Source organism: Homo sapiens, chromosome 5, assembly GCF_000001405.40.
Source record: "Homo sapiens chromosome 5, GRCh38.p14 Primary Assembly".
In the NCBI taxonomy this organism is placed as follows: Eukaryota; Metazoa; Chordata; class Mammalia; order Primates; family Hominidae; genus Homo; species Homo sapiens.
In genome coordinates this window covers 160239697-160254064 of record NC_000005.10, presented here as the reverse complement: position 1 = coordinate 160254064, position 14368 = coordinate 160239697, and the positions used below count along the sequence as shown (strand labels likewise).

At 48.5% G+C, this 14368-nt stretch overlaps 1 protein-coding gene across 10 annotated transcripts in view; it reads left to right on the top strand.

Annotated features, from left to right (window-relative positions):
• Window positions 1-4982, top strand: part of CCNJL (cyclin J like) — a 90488-nt gene extending 85506 nt beyond the window's left edge. For 9 of the 10 annotated variants that reach the window (NR_177110.1, XM_011534646.4, XM_017009847.2 and 6 more), the window contains one exon: window positions 267-4982. Coding sequence is in view for 8 of the 10 variants with exons in the window: in XM_011534646.4 (XP_011532948.1) it covers window positions 267-687 (421 nt within the window). In the remaining 2 variants the exon portion in view is untranslated. The remainder of the gene's footprint in view (window positions 1-266) is intronic. The other variant, NR_131769.2, reaches the window with a different exon arrangement.

The following is a 14368-nucleotide window of genomic DNA, read 5'->3' as shown; positions in this document are numbered from 1 at the left end:
CATGGGGCTGTGGGGACAGCCAGCCTAGTCTGGAGGGGCCAGAAGAAATTTTCTGTAGGAAGCAGATCCAAGCTGAGAGCCAAGGCCTGAATCTAGTTTGTGAACAGCTGGAGCGGTGCCACACACAGTGAGCACAGCCAGGTAAGGCCTGGTGGACACAGGACACACGCATCTCTTCCAGTCCCACTTAGCAAGACAGGTAGAGACACACACAGGCATCTGGTGGCTTTTGGCCTCCAGTTCTCACCCAGGTCTTCTCGTTTCAGAGTGTATGACAACGTCCTCAAGGATGCCGTAGCCGTCAAGAGCCAGGCCTTGGCAATGGTGCCCGGCACACCCCCCACCCCCACTCAAGTGCTGTTCCAGCCACCAGCCTACCCGGCCCTCGGCCAGCCAGCGACCACCCTGGCACAGTTCCAGACCCCCGTGCAGGACCTATGCTTGGCCTATCGGGACTCCTTGCAGGCCCACCGTTCAGGGAGCCTGCTCTCGGGGAGTACAGGCTCATCCCTCCACACCCCGTACCAACCGCTGCAGCCCTTGGATATGTGTCCCGTGCCCGTCCCTGCATCCCTTAGCATGCATATGGCCATTGCAGCTGAGCCCAGGCACTGCCTCGCCACCACCTATGGAAGCAGCTACTTCAGTGGGAGCCACATGTTCCCCACCGGCTGCTTTGACAGATAGGCCACCTCCAGACCTCACGAGGAAGCCTTGGAGATGTGGGCAGAGGAAGAGGACACTGAAGAGGAGAGCTCAGCCAAGTGAGGCAGCAGGAGGCCATCCCTGAAGAGCCTTGGAACGTGGAGGGTCTGTGCTCCTTTTAAATAAAACTGACCCAGAGCAAAACATTCAATAACATACCTCACCCGAGAGCATTCCTCTGAGAAACGTCTGCCACGTGTGGCTAGGGTACAAAAGGATGGCTTGGTGGCCGTCCCCCCACACAGGGGCCCAGTGAATCGAGAAAGACTTGATAAGAGGCCAGGAGAGTGGGAACTGGACACAGACCACTGATCTCAAGCATGTCCAGTTTTTAGCATTAAAGACTTTTCTATTCTTTGCTGATGGCAGCTACACCGCTGAAAAAGGAGGGGCAGCCTGGCGTGTTCTCAGGACCCCCGGAGGATCCCATATTGGGTGCTTTTCTTTCCCTGGCTCTATGCAGAGGGGCCTGAGTTGGTGTGTATGCCTGAGTGTTTGCCTTGCGAGGCACAGTGGGTGGCTGTCTTGCCTTTGTTTTCGAACCTAAAACCATTTTCAGCCTTTTAGATATGTCATGTGCTGCTGCTTCCCGAAGTGGTCTTGCTTTCTGTTTCGTAAGATGTCTTGTTTACACACTGTATCAGGGATTTGGTGATACTTGAAAATTCCTTTGGAGAAAAAAACAAATTTAATTGCCACACTGCCTGTCCCACATGAGGGCTGTTAATTTGGAACCCAAGTTTGAACCCAACTTGTGATGGACCCGCAGGTAACCACAGAGCTTCCTTTTTGAAGGCATATGGTTGGAGAGAACCATTTTCCCAGCTCTCGGTTCCGGAAGATTCCACGTCTTGGAGGCTGTGTTCACCACTAGAACTTTAATAACTACCCAGGGAGGGAGAAGCTCGTTGAAAGGAAGACAAAGATTTAAACAGTTCCCACCTCTCTCCACCACATACTTACAGGGCATGAGTTTAACCCAGTCTAGGCTTTGAGTGTGGCTGATAGCGAAGGATAGCAATGTGGAAAATTTGCTTAGTCCCACCTGTATTTGGGGAGTGGGATGTACATGGGCGTTTGATACCACCATTGATAGGCAAGCGACTGGTTGGATCAAAAGCCAGTATTTAGGGATCTGCAGCGAGAGGGCCCTCAGGAAGACTCTTGTAACCATGTGCAATATGTTTTTATTCTGACTCGCAGCTTGTGCTCAGCATGTTCTTTGGTTTAGTTTGGGGTTGGGGGACACATTGTTCACCCAGCAGAACTGGGAGGTGCAAAGGACCGTGGAAGCAATTTTTGTTTTGTTTGAGGAATACCTGTCTTGGATTCCTTAGCCCCTTGCCAGTCCTGGAGACTGTGGCAGGGGCCGCCAGGAAGGCAGCTGTCTGCTGCTGAGTCAGATCGGAAGGTGGTGAATCTTTCCAGAGCAGCTGAAAATCTCAGCATGGAGACAGTAAGAAAAGAGACGGGGTGTGGATAAGACTCTGCCACCGTGTCACACTAGCATAGGAGGCTGCACGTTCATTTGTTGTTGTTTTTTTTTCCTTTGCCAACCTCCGTTCTATTTATGTGCAAGCAGTTTGGATTCAAGTTCTTGTATCTGTCTGTTCTGGGACCTGGGGATTGTGAGGGTTCCCTCACAGCCAGCACGACCCCCAGAAAGAGGCGTCCCACAATAAACACGTCACCTGCTCTTGATCTCTCACCTCTTGTCCTAGGCATCCCCTCTTGGGCCGGCCCCTCCTTCCCTCTCTCAAATCAGCCCTGGTGAGCATCTCCCTATGGTAGAGGGTGGAATATTGGGGGCAGCAGCAAGACCTCGGGAGCTGAGTCCTGCCCTCTGAGTAGGAGCTGGGCCTCCCTGGGCACACAGAGGCCAGCGGAGGGGTGTATAAGGCTTGACACCCCAGCTCCATCACCGTCTCAGGGTTTTTCCAAAGAAACCAGTAGGATATATATGGAGAGAGATTTATTTTAAGGAATTGGCTCATGTGATTGCAGAGGCTGTGGTCTAAAATTTGTGGGGCATGTCAGCAGGCTGGAAATTCAGGTAAGAGCTGATGTTGCAGTAGAGTTCAAAATCTGTAGGGCAGGCCCACAGGCTGGAAACTCAGGCATGATTTCTGTGTTAGCAGTCGTGAGGCAAAATTTATTCTCCAGGAAACCTCAATCTTTGCTCTTACGACCTTTTACCAGTTGGATGAGGCCCACCCACATTATGGAGGCTTTTCTTAAAGTCAACTGATTGTAAATGTTAATCACATCTAAAAATACCTTGACAGCAACATCTAGACTAGTACCTAGCCACACAACAGGCACTGTAGCCTAGCCAAGCTGCCACATAAACTTAATGATCACACCACTTACCAGCTGTTGGAAGGCAGTTGACCCAACCTCTCTCTGAGCCTCCATCTTGTCACCTGTTAAAATGGGAGTGATAACACCTTGCCTCATAGGGTTCTTAAGAGGATTAAATAACATAATGTACATCAAGGCCAGTACCTCCAAAAAAGGAGATAATTATTATATTTCTTCAAGCATAAGATCAGCTTTTTGTAAGATGCACTATTATTTTATGCACTAATAAGACTTTTTAGAAAACTAAATCATGAGGCAGTTTGCAAGATACCATTGATTATATGTTGCATTCTGATTTCAGAAGCGTTACATGTCAAAATATGTATATGTAGAATTGATGAGATATAGCATCAGCTGTTATGAAAAATGTCAGATTCGTACTCCTCCTTGAAGGGAGTCTCACTCAAGACTTCTGTCTTGCCCTCTACCTACCCAGCTTCCAGCAGGAGAACCACCCCAGAGAGCCGGTGTCACTGTGGGGCTGAGACATTTGCTAAGTGCAGATGCCTTTGATTAGACAATTAGGGGAGGAATGGGAAGATGAGCTCAGGGCCTGAGGCTGCAGCCCAGACCCAGGAGTGTGTTTGACACCGCCAAGGGCGGGGCTGAGGGCAGTGCTCACCACCCGCTGTGTGCAAGGCTAGGTGAGGCAGGAAGCTCTAAGTTTTGGGGATTCAGAGACAAGGCAAGTCTTGGGTTGACCAAGAGCACCCACCTCACTTTGGACAAATCCCTCCCTCTTTGGGCTTCCATTTCTCCATCTGTTACTATGGAGATGGTCAAGTTGGTGGATGGTTCTAAGCTCTTGGGGCGGGGGGAGACTGTGCCACAGAGGCTGTGACCTCTGTGGCCTTCAGCCAGAGGGATCCACTTGTATTTCTTCCACCCTTGGGCACTCCCATGTAAGATTGTGTTAATTCCCATGCTGGAGGACAGCTATGAAAGCTTTAAAAAGCACAAAGATAGTCTTAAAGTTCCTCCCAGGGCTGGCATCAGGTTAAATTCAGAGGTTTTCAAGCCTGAGCAAGCTGCAGAATGACCTGGAGCCTTCTCTAGGAGGGGTGGGGACCTGGAATCTGCACTTTAGCCAGCTTCTTGGTCATTCAGGCATATGATTTCTTTGTTTGTTTTTTATATTTCAGTTGTATTTTTATAACTCCCCAGTTTAGTTTGATTTTTTAAATTTTTATTTTATTTATTTATTTATTTATTTATTTATTTATTTATTTATTTTTTGAAACAGGGTCTCACTCTGTGGCCCAGGCTAGAGTGCAGTGGCACAGTCACGGCTCACTGCAGCTTCAACCTTCTGGGCTCAAGTGATCCTCCCACCTCAGCCTCCTGAGTAGCTGGGACTACAGGCACCTGTCACCATACCCAGCTAATTTTGGTATTTTTTGTAGAGATGAGGTTTCACCATGTTGTCCAGGCTGGTCTCAGACTCCTGAGCTCAAGCAATCTGACTGCCTCGGCCTCCCAAAGTGCTGAGATTACAGGTATAAGCCACTACGCCTGGTCCAGCTTGTTTTGAAAAGTATTTTCTGACGTCTATATGAATTTAACAGAATTATCTCAAAGTACACAGAAATTACCTGTATTTGCCAGTAAATATGAGATGCTGATGAAAGAATACTCAATATACCAATATTTAAGCATGTCAACATAATAGAACTTTTTCCACCTTTTAAAATTATTTTTCCCACCTAACCCAATTTATATTTGACATTTGGGTTACATGTGCATATAGAAACAGACCTATTCCACAACTGACCATAGATAAACTAGCATGCAAGTGTCCTTTCTGGATGTAATTAAGTTTCAGAGGCAGCATGGTTCAAATGGGAGCAAATGAGCTGACCTCCTCATGAAATACACTAGGCAAAAAATCAAGAAGTATTAAAGTTGCTAAAGACTGATTCCAGATCTTTTATTTCTTCCTTTTTCTTTTTAATTTTGAGACAGGGTCTCACTCTGTCGCCCAGGCTGGAGTACAGTGGTCCGATCTCGGCTCACTGCAACCTCTGCTTCCCAGGTTCAGGCAATTCTCCTGCCTCAACTTCTCAGGTAGCTGGGAGTACTGGTGCGCGCCACCATGCCCGGCCAATTTTTGTATTTTTAGCAGAGACAGGGTTTCACCATGTTGGCCAGGCTGGTCTCAAACTCCTGGCCTCAAGTGATCCACCCGCCTCGGCCTCCCAAAGTGCTGGGATTACAGGCATAAGCCACCCGCCCAGCCTCTTCCCTATCTTTTAAATATACAAGTGTGCACTGTGGGTGTGTGTGAATTAAGACGATTCTGGACTGTGAGCTCCTATGGGCGGGGCTATTGTCACTCTATAAAAAGCCCTAGGGCAAAAAGATGGAGGTAGTGCAGGGAGCAGAGGGCGCCTGTCCTCCATCCAGCCATCATCAAACCCACCGAAGAGGCAGACCCGATTAAGTCTTAGTGGGTTAGGTGTTGACCTGGGCCTTCAAGGGAGGTTTTACTCCACTGTGTTTTATTTTATTGTTTTATGTCGTTTGTTCCACTATTTTTGTAATTGGGGCAAAGTGAGAGGTTCAGCTAATCTAAGAACACTTAATATACCCCAGAAACTGTCTGAATCAATTATTTTTATTCTTCTGCCAAACACAACTGATTTCCATCTGCAATTATTTTTTAAGGTAAGAAACAGTAAGTCAGTGAAGAAAGAGCTGGGTTAGCTTGCCCACTGAGAGATGCAGAGCCGAAGGCTGGGGTCAAGTCAGGTTGGCCGCAGCAGGGTACAGAGCAGCCTCGGTGGGCTTCCTCCAAGAACGTTCTGCAGCACCTGACACACTGCTGGTACACCGTCTCAAAAGGCAGCCATTTCCATAATAGGGATCTGCATTAATAAGTTGGTTTTGTGATCACAGCTCCCAAGTAGTTCAATTTTAGCTTTGCAGTTTTTAACTTGATTGCTTTTTCTATTCCTATCTCTGCTGGGCAACGTGGCTCATGGGAATGTTGTGTCTCTTCATGCAGCTGTGCCCTCGGTAGTCAGGGGATTCCCTATCTCGTACCCAGACGTCACCACACTGTCTACCCTCCAATTCTCTGAAATGTTTTTTTTTTTTTTTTTGAGCCAGAGTCTCGCTCTGTCGCCCAGGCTGGAGTGCAGTGGCGCAATCCTGACTCAGTGCAACCTCCGCCTCCCGGGTTCAACCGATTCTCCTGCCTCAGCCTCCCGCTTAGCTGGATTACGGGTATATGCCACCATGCCCAGCTAATTTTTGTATTTTTAGTAGAGACGGGGTTTCATCATATTGGTCAGGCTGATCTCAAACTCCTAACCTCAGGTGATCTGCCCGCCTTGGCCTCCGAAAGTACTAGGATTACAGGCATGAGCCACTGCACGCAGGACTTTGAAATGTTTTGATCTGAAAACTGCTTCTGCAGTGGGTGACCAACAGATGTTACCCAGACACACAAACAGCACCGACTTAGGCACCTGCTCTCCCATCTTTACGTGCACAAAGGTACCCAGAGACTGCCTGTGTGATTTCTTTGAAGAAACATTGAAGGATTAACTGTGCAGGAACTGGTTCCCAAACTCAAATGAGAGTAAGGAAGTAGCATCCCTGTCTGAATGTCAACCATTTGAGTCCTAGACCTCAACTTTGTTCTATACTTAGTATTTCTTTCTTTGTTCTATGCAGCATTTCTCTGGCTTAGCTGAGTGAAGGGCTAGGACACCCAGACTTCTTTTCCAAGAAGAATCTGCTTCTTTCCAAACTAACACTGCAGACTAAATGCCTGGATTTGGCTTAGAGTCAGGGTTCCAGTTCCTTCTGCCCTCCAGGTTCAAAGCCCATCTCTCCAAAGCTGTTTCTGCTCTTCCCCTTAGTCCTTGTGGGACTGGCTCCTCACCCTTATTATTATTATTATTATTTTTTCTGAGACACAGTTGCTCTGTCACCCAGGCTGGAATGCAGTGGCACCATCTTAGCTCACAGCAGCCTCCACCTCCTGGGTTCAAGTAATTATCCTGCCTCACCCTCTCCGGTAGCTGAGATTACAGGCAAGCGCCACCATGCCAGACTAATTTTTGTATTTTTAGTAGAGACGAGGTTTCACCATGTAGGCCTGGCTGGTCTCACACTCCTGACCTCAGGCGATCCGCCTGCCTTGGCCTTTCAAAGTGCTAGGATTACGGGCGTGAGCCACAGTGCCTGGCCTGCTGCTCACCCTTTATATCAGTGATTCTCAACAGGGGTCATTTTGACCCCCAGGGGACATTTGGCAATGTCTGGACACCCATTTGGTTGTAACTGAGGGGGGTTACTACCAGCATATAGGGAGTAGAGGTCCAGGATGTTGCTAACCATCCTACACTGCACAAGAGAGCCCCTCATGGCAAAAAACTGTCCAGCTCCAAATGGCAATAGTGTTGAGGCTAAGAAACCCTGCTGTAGGTCTCAGCTCACGTGCTACCTCCCGAACAGGCCTCTGTAACAACCCTAGTCATTCTCTCATTAGCTGTTGATTTTCTTCATGGTATTCAAACCATCTGAAATGACCGAATTAATTTGTTTACCTGATTTGATGGCTGTGCCTAAACTACCTCCCCTCCCACCACCCCATATAATAATAGCTCCTGGTGGTGGTGGCAGTAGTCATCACAGCTAACATTTATTAAGTACTTACTGTTGTATTTCAGGCATTTGCTCATATTATTTCCTACAGCCATCCTAGTAACCCTACAAAATAGGAAGTATTATTAGCTGTGTTTTACAGATCAGAAAATAAGGGCACAGAGAGGTTATTTGCCTAAGGACAGCAGCGGCAGTGAAGGAGCCACAGTTCAACCCCACGCCCCAGCATCCTGTGCTCCTGACCCAGTGGCTTCGGAGTGCAAGAGGTAAAGTCTCCGTGGCTGGCCCAGCTGGCCATCCACTCACCTGGTAGGGAACACCCCACTAGGACAGAACAATGGACGTGGGTTCATAAAAGCAAAGAGTTGCCTGGCGTTCACACTCCTGATTCATGGCCGGGGTTCTCAGAGCATGCTCACCAGCAGACACAGAACCGTAGCTCCTTGCACATCTGCCACCGGCTAACAAGATTTGCGGCTCCATCTGTCTGCTTCTAACATGCTTAGATCTGGGAGGGGCTCCCTGAGCTCCCAGCCCCATCTGTGAAGGTGAAGACCTGGGACCAGGCTTGGGGCCTCCCCAGAGCTTCCCCCAGGAGGGGACCTGCCTCAGTGCTGGCTCAGACCAGTTCCAGGCACCATCCAGCTTGTCAAGCAGCCCAAAGAGCTGCCCTCCTCCTTGCCAGCAACCAGCATCCTTGTATTTCTGAGGCAATCCCTGGCACCAGGTGCCTGGAAGAGAATCTTAGCAGCTCTCATGAACCAGGATCTGTTCCTCAGAGTAAACCCTTGTGAACCGAATTTCAGAAGAAGACACCAAAGCATTTGGTAGGTGTCTCAGGTCCAAATGCCCGCCAGGGCCAGGTAGGTACCGTAAGTGTGCAAATACAGCTGGATGACTGACAGTGCGAGGTGGTGGGGACTGTGTTGAGCTATAAAGCCAGTGTTTCCCTAAAGGATATGATGTCTACTCAGCTCCTACCTGGTATTATCTTTCTTTTTTTTTTTTCTTTTGTTTTTTTTTGAGACGGAGTCTTGCTCTGTCACCCAGGCTGGAATGCAGCGGCGCAATCTCGGCTCACTGCAAGCTCCGCCTCCTGGGTTCACGCCATTCTCCTGCCTTCGGCTCCCCAGCAGCTGGGACTACAGGCGCACGCTGCCACGCCCTGCTAATTTTTTTGTAATTTTAGTAGTGACAGGGTTTCACCTTGTTAGCCAGGATGGTCTCAATCTCCTGACCTCGTGATCCACCTGCCTCGGCTTCCCAAAGTGCTGGGATTACAGGCGTGAGCCACCGCACCCAGCCCCTACCTGGTATTATCTTTCAGAGATGTAAGCTCCATGTTTCCAGAGAAACTGGGAATCTGTGCTTTCTAGGAAATTATTTTTTTAAAAAATTTTTTAAATTAAATTTAAAACATTTTAACAAATAGGAAGCCAATAAAACATTTTAAGTTAGAGTGGAATCTAGGCTGGGTGCAGTGGCTCACGCCTGTAATCCCAGCACTTTGGGAGGCCGAGGCAGGTGGATCACCTGAGATCAGGAGTGCGAGACCAGCCTGGCCAACATGAAACCCTCTCTCTACTAAAAATACAAAAAATTAGCCAGGCATGGTGGCAGGCACCTGTAATCCCAGCTACTTGGGAGGCTGAGGCAGGATAATCACTTGAACCAGGGAGGCAGAGGTTGCAGTGAGTGGAGATGGCGCCACTGCACTCCAGCCTGGGTAATAAGAGTGAAACTCTGTCTAAAAAAAAAAAAAAAAAGAAGAAGTGCAATCTAGACAAGAATGCAGAGCCTGAGAGGTGAGAGGTCTGAGTGTGTCTGGTCTTGACGATAGCCATCACTCCATTCTGAACCTCTGTCTCCTCATTTTAAGGGGAAGGCTGCCAACCTAGTCTGTGGTTCAGGTGTATGGTAAGGAAGCCTGGAACACGTGGTATTATCATTCAGCAGTGAGTTCCACAAGGAACACTGGAAATAAGTGGACCCCCTCTTCTTTAGGGCTCAGGTGAGACAGCTGCACCTCCCCCCAACCCAGCTCCCACTTCAAAGGAAGAATTCAAGTGGCCAGGCTTCTGCTGGGCCAGCTCTGGCTGGTTCTAGGCCCCTGCCCTTATCAGAGACACACAGGCAGGACATCTGGGAAGTCAGGCCTTCTGCTGCTCCCAACTGTGTGGACTTAGGCAGGTCATTTCCCTTTTCTAGAGCTCAGTTTCTCCATCTGTAAATGAGAGGGTGGGACTGGAATGGTCTCCCAGGTCATACCTGGCAGGGGAGCACATCCCAGTGGCAGTCCATGGTCTTCTTACCTAGAGTCAGGTCCAGCAGGTCTGAGATGGGAGGTTTCCCAGGAGAGGCTCGTGCACAGCCAGGCTTGGACACTGCTCCCTGCTCTGAAGCCCTACCCTGTATGTGCCAGTTCTCACCAGTAGACGTTTCAAGAAGAGCCCTGGCCGGGCGCAGTGGCTCACGCCTGTAATCCCAGCACTTTGGGAGGCCAAGGCGGACGGATCACAAGGTCAGGAGATCAAGACCATCCTGGCTAACACGGTGAAACCCTGTCTGTACTAAAAATACAAAAAGTAAAATAAAATAAAAGCCGGGCGTGGTGGCGGGCACCTGTTGTCCCAGCTGGAGGCTGAGGCAGCAGAATGGCGTGAACCCGGGAGGCGGAGCTTGCAGTGAGCCGAGATTGTGCCACTGCACTCCAGCCTGGGCAACACAGCAAGACTCCGTCTCAAAAAAAAAAAAAAAAAAAAAAAGAAGAAGAAGAGCCCTTAATAGCTCCTTTGTACACGCTTACTATGTGGCAGGCCCTGTCTTTGGCACTTTCCTCATGCTCTTATCCTTACTCCTCTTTTGTCCTCACAACGCCACCATGAGCTAGTTGGATTATCACCATTGCCTAGATGACGATACTGAGGATTGTGGAGGCTGAAGATCTCGCCATGCCATGTCACCCTGGGTGACACACAGCCACACAAAGGCCCAATCACTCAAGATTTCACTGCTCCTTCCCCCCAAACACATCAGGTATCCAAGGAATGACAGGCAGGTGGCAGAGTGCCACCTAATGGTGATCTTCTTTCATTTATTTATTTATTTATTTATTTATTTATTTATTTATTTATTTATTTTAAGACATTGTCTGACTCTGTCCCCCAGGCTGGAGTGCAGTGGCACGATCTCAGCGCACTGCAACCTCTGCCTCCTGGGCTCAAACCATCCTCCCACCTCAGCCTCCCAAGTAGCTGGGACTAAAGATGCCCACCACCAAGCCCAGCTAAATTTTTTGCATGTTTTGTAGAGACAGGGTTTCACCATGTTGTCCAGGCTGGTCTCAAACTCCTGAGCTCAAGCGATCTGCCCACCTCAGTCTCCCAAAGTGCTTGGATTACAAGCATAAGCCACTGCGCCCGGCCCTAGTGGTGATCTTTAAAGATGCTATGAGTAGCTCCCAAGTTCACTAAAGGAGCTTGCCAGGAGGGAGGCAGGTGCCCTGGCACAGTGGGAAAGATGACTCCCAAATGTCAGGGTGAAGGTCATGGAGAGCCTGTGGTAAAGGGCACCTGAACCAGGTCTGTGGAATGGGGAGTCTTTCCAGCATCTTGCACAGTGCAGCAAATAATGAAGCCAATCTAACTTTCTGGGAGTCATGAGCATGGATAAATAAAAAAAAAATTTTGTTTTGAAACAGGATTTCACTCTGTCACCCAGGCAACAATGCAGTGGTGTAATGATGGCCGCTGCAGCCTCGACCTCCTCGGGCTCAGGTGATTGTCCCACCTCATCCTCCCAAGTAGCTGGGACTAAAGGCATGTGCTACCACGCCCGGCTAACTTTTGTATTTTTTGTAGAGATGGGGTTTCGCCATGTTGCCCAGGCTGGTCTTGAACTTCTGGCTCAATGGTCTGCCCGCCTTGGCCTCCCAAAGCAAGGATTTTTACCCTTTATCCTTGTAACTCCTCTGTGACCGAGGAAGGGAAGGTCTTACTAATTCATTTTACACATGACCAAGATGAGGCTCAGAGAGGTCCAGTGACTCACAAGTTAGTGACAGAGGCACTCCTAACCCTTTGATTGCATTGACCTGAGAGTGATGGTTGTGATGATGGAGGTGATGGTAGAAACTAACATTGAGTGACTTTGTAGCAAGTCCATTAGGTAAGTACAGTTGTTATTCCCATTTACAGGTGAGGAAACTGAGGCTCAGAGAAATGGATGAACTTACCCCAAGGTGACACAGCTTCTAGGTGATAAAGAAAAGATTCAAATCCTGGTAATGTGACTCCAAAACCAAAGCTCTATTTTTTTTTTTTTTTTTGAGATGGAGTCTCGTTCTGTCATCCAGGCTGGAGTGTGATGGCACATCTCGGCTCACTGCAGCCTCCACCTCCTGGGTTCAAGTGATTCTCCTGCCTCAGCCTCCCAAGTAGCTGAGATTACAGGCACGCGCTACCACACTTGGCTAATTTTTGTATTTTTAGTAGAGATGGGGTTTCACTGTGTTGGCCAGGCTGGTCTCTAACTCCTGACCTCAGGTGATCCACCTGCCTCACCCTCCCAAAGTGCTGGGATTACAGGTGTGAGCCACCGTGCCTGGCCCCAGAGCTCTTTTTTTTGAGACCGGGTCTCTCTCTGTCGCCCAGGCTGGAATGCAGTGGTGCAATCATGGCTCACTGCAGCCGTGACTTTCCCGGGCCCATTCTATCCTCCCACCACAGCCCCCCAAGTAGCTGGGACCACAGGCATGTGCCACCATGCCCAGCTAATGTTTTAATTTTTTTGTAGAGATGAAGTCTCCTTATGTTCTCGAACTCCTGGGCTCAAACGATCCTCCTGTCTCAGCCTCCCAAAGTGCTGGGATTACAGGTGTGAGCCACCACACCCAGCCCAGAGTCAAAGCTCTTAACCACCGGCTCTTCTGGCTGAGGAATCCTCCCTGCCAAGATGCCAGTGACATAGGTGCTTTTCTCCAGCTCACCTTACTCCATTTACCCACACTGAGAAACTGTAGCTCCATCAGTGAGTGAAGCCCACACCCGCATTACTACTCTCAGAGACTCACTCACTCTCTGCTGTGTGACTTTGGATGAATTTCTTTTCCTCTCTGAGCCTCAGTTTCCACGTCTGTGAAATACAGTGTTTAAACTAGTTGAGAGCTGAGGTCCTGCTTTTCCATAGTCTATGAATCTGTGAGTTTATAACAATACAGGCTTAAGAATTTCTCCCCTGGCTGGGGGCTGTGGCTTATGCCTGTAATCCCAACACTTTGAGAGGGCTAGACATGGGGATCACAAGGTCAGGAGATCAAGACCATCCTCACCAACATGGTGAAACCCCGTCTCTACTAAAAATACAAAAAATTAGCTGGGCGTGGTGGCGTGTGCCTGTACTCATGGGGCTGAGGCGGGAGAATCGCTTGAACCAGGGAGTCAGAGGTTGCAGTGACCCGAGATCACGTTACTGCACTCCAGCCTGGTGACAGAACAAGACTCTGTCTCAAAAAAAAAAAAAATATTTCTCCCCTGCCAGCAATTTGAATTTGTCCTTGAATCAATTATAGTGAAAATTCTCTCTTGTCTCTTCTGTCACTCCCTCCCTCCATCTCTCTCTCTCTCTCCTCTTCCTTCCTCTTTCTCTCTCTCCCCTTGTCTCAATTTTCAGCCTAATTATAGTTAACTCTGTTATTTAGAGACTTATTATCCAAGCTCATTATGAGTAATTATTCATTCTGGAGGGGAAACAGCAACACTGCTAGTTTAATGCTTACCTGGTTCACTTAATTAGTAATAAGTCTTGGCAAAACGGTGGAATTCATGGGTCCTTGCTGGATGGGTGGGTGGGGAGAGGCTGTGTATTGTTCTTAGAAAGATAAACAAGGTTTCAGAGCAGAATGTGGGAGGAGGCAAGAGAAGGCTGCCTGTGACCTGAGCTGTGACATCTGTCCAGGTTGAGGCTGGCCCACAAGAGTGAAAGGCTGCAAATTGCGCAGAGCTGGAAGGACCTTAGGTCAGGTAGCACGTATTAGGCTCCTTCTGTGTGCCATACCCTGTGCAAAGCTCTGGACAAACCTTATTCCTTATGTCTCACGTATGGGACTTGTACATTCGAAAAAATGTAAGTACTACCTGCCTTCGGTAATTCAGTTCTTATAGTGAGTACATTCTCCTTTCAGTAGTCTCTCAGGAATTTTGATGAGTTAAGGATAAATTTTCCCATTTGATACCACTATGTCTTTTACCTCTCTCACCCTTTTCACAAAGGGAGGCCTTAGGCCCAGGGCCTTGGGCAGGCAACAGAATCTAGCTAGAAGTCAACATTGTTCAGCTATGACTTTTTAAATAGTTTTAGTTTACTTATGGCAAATAACAGTGGTTGTCTATGTATGGAAGTGACGTGATTTTCCATTATAGTAAAAATAAGTGAATTGTCTTATAGAAAAATATAGGGTAGCCAGGCGCGGTGGCTCACGTCTGTAATCCTAACACTTTGGGAGGCCGAGGCAGATGGATCACCTGAGGTCAGAAGTTTGAGACCAGCCTGACCAACATGGAGAAACCCTGTCTCTACTAAAAATACAAAATTAGCCAGGCGTGGTGGCACATGCCTGTAATCCCAGCTACTTGGGAGGCTGAGGCAGGAGAATAGCTTGAGCCCAGGAGGTGGAGGTTGCAGTGAGCCA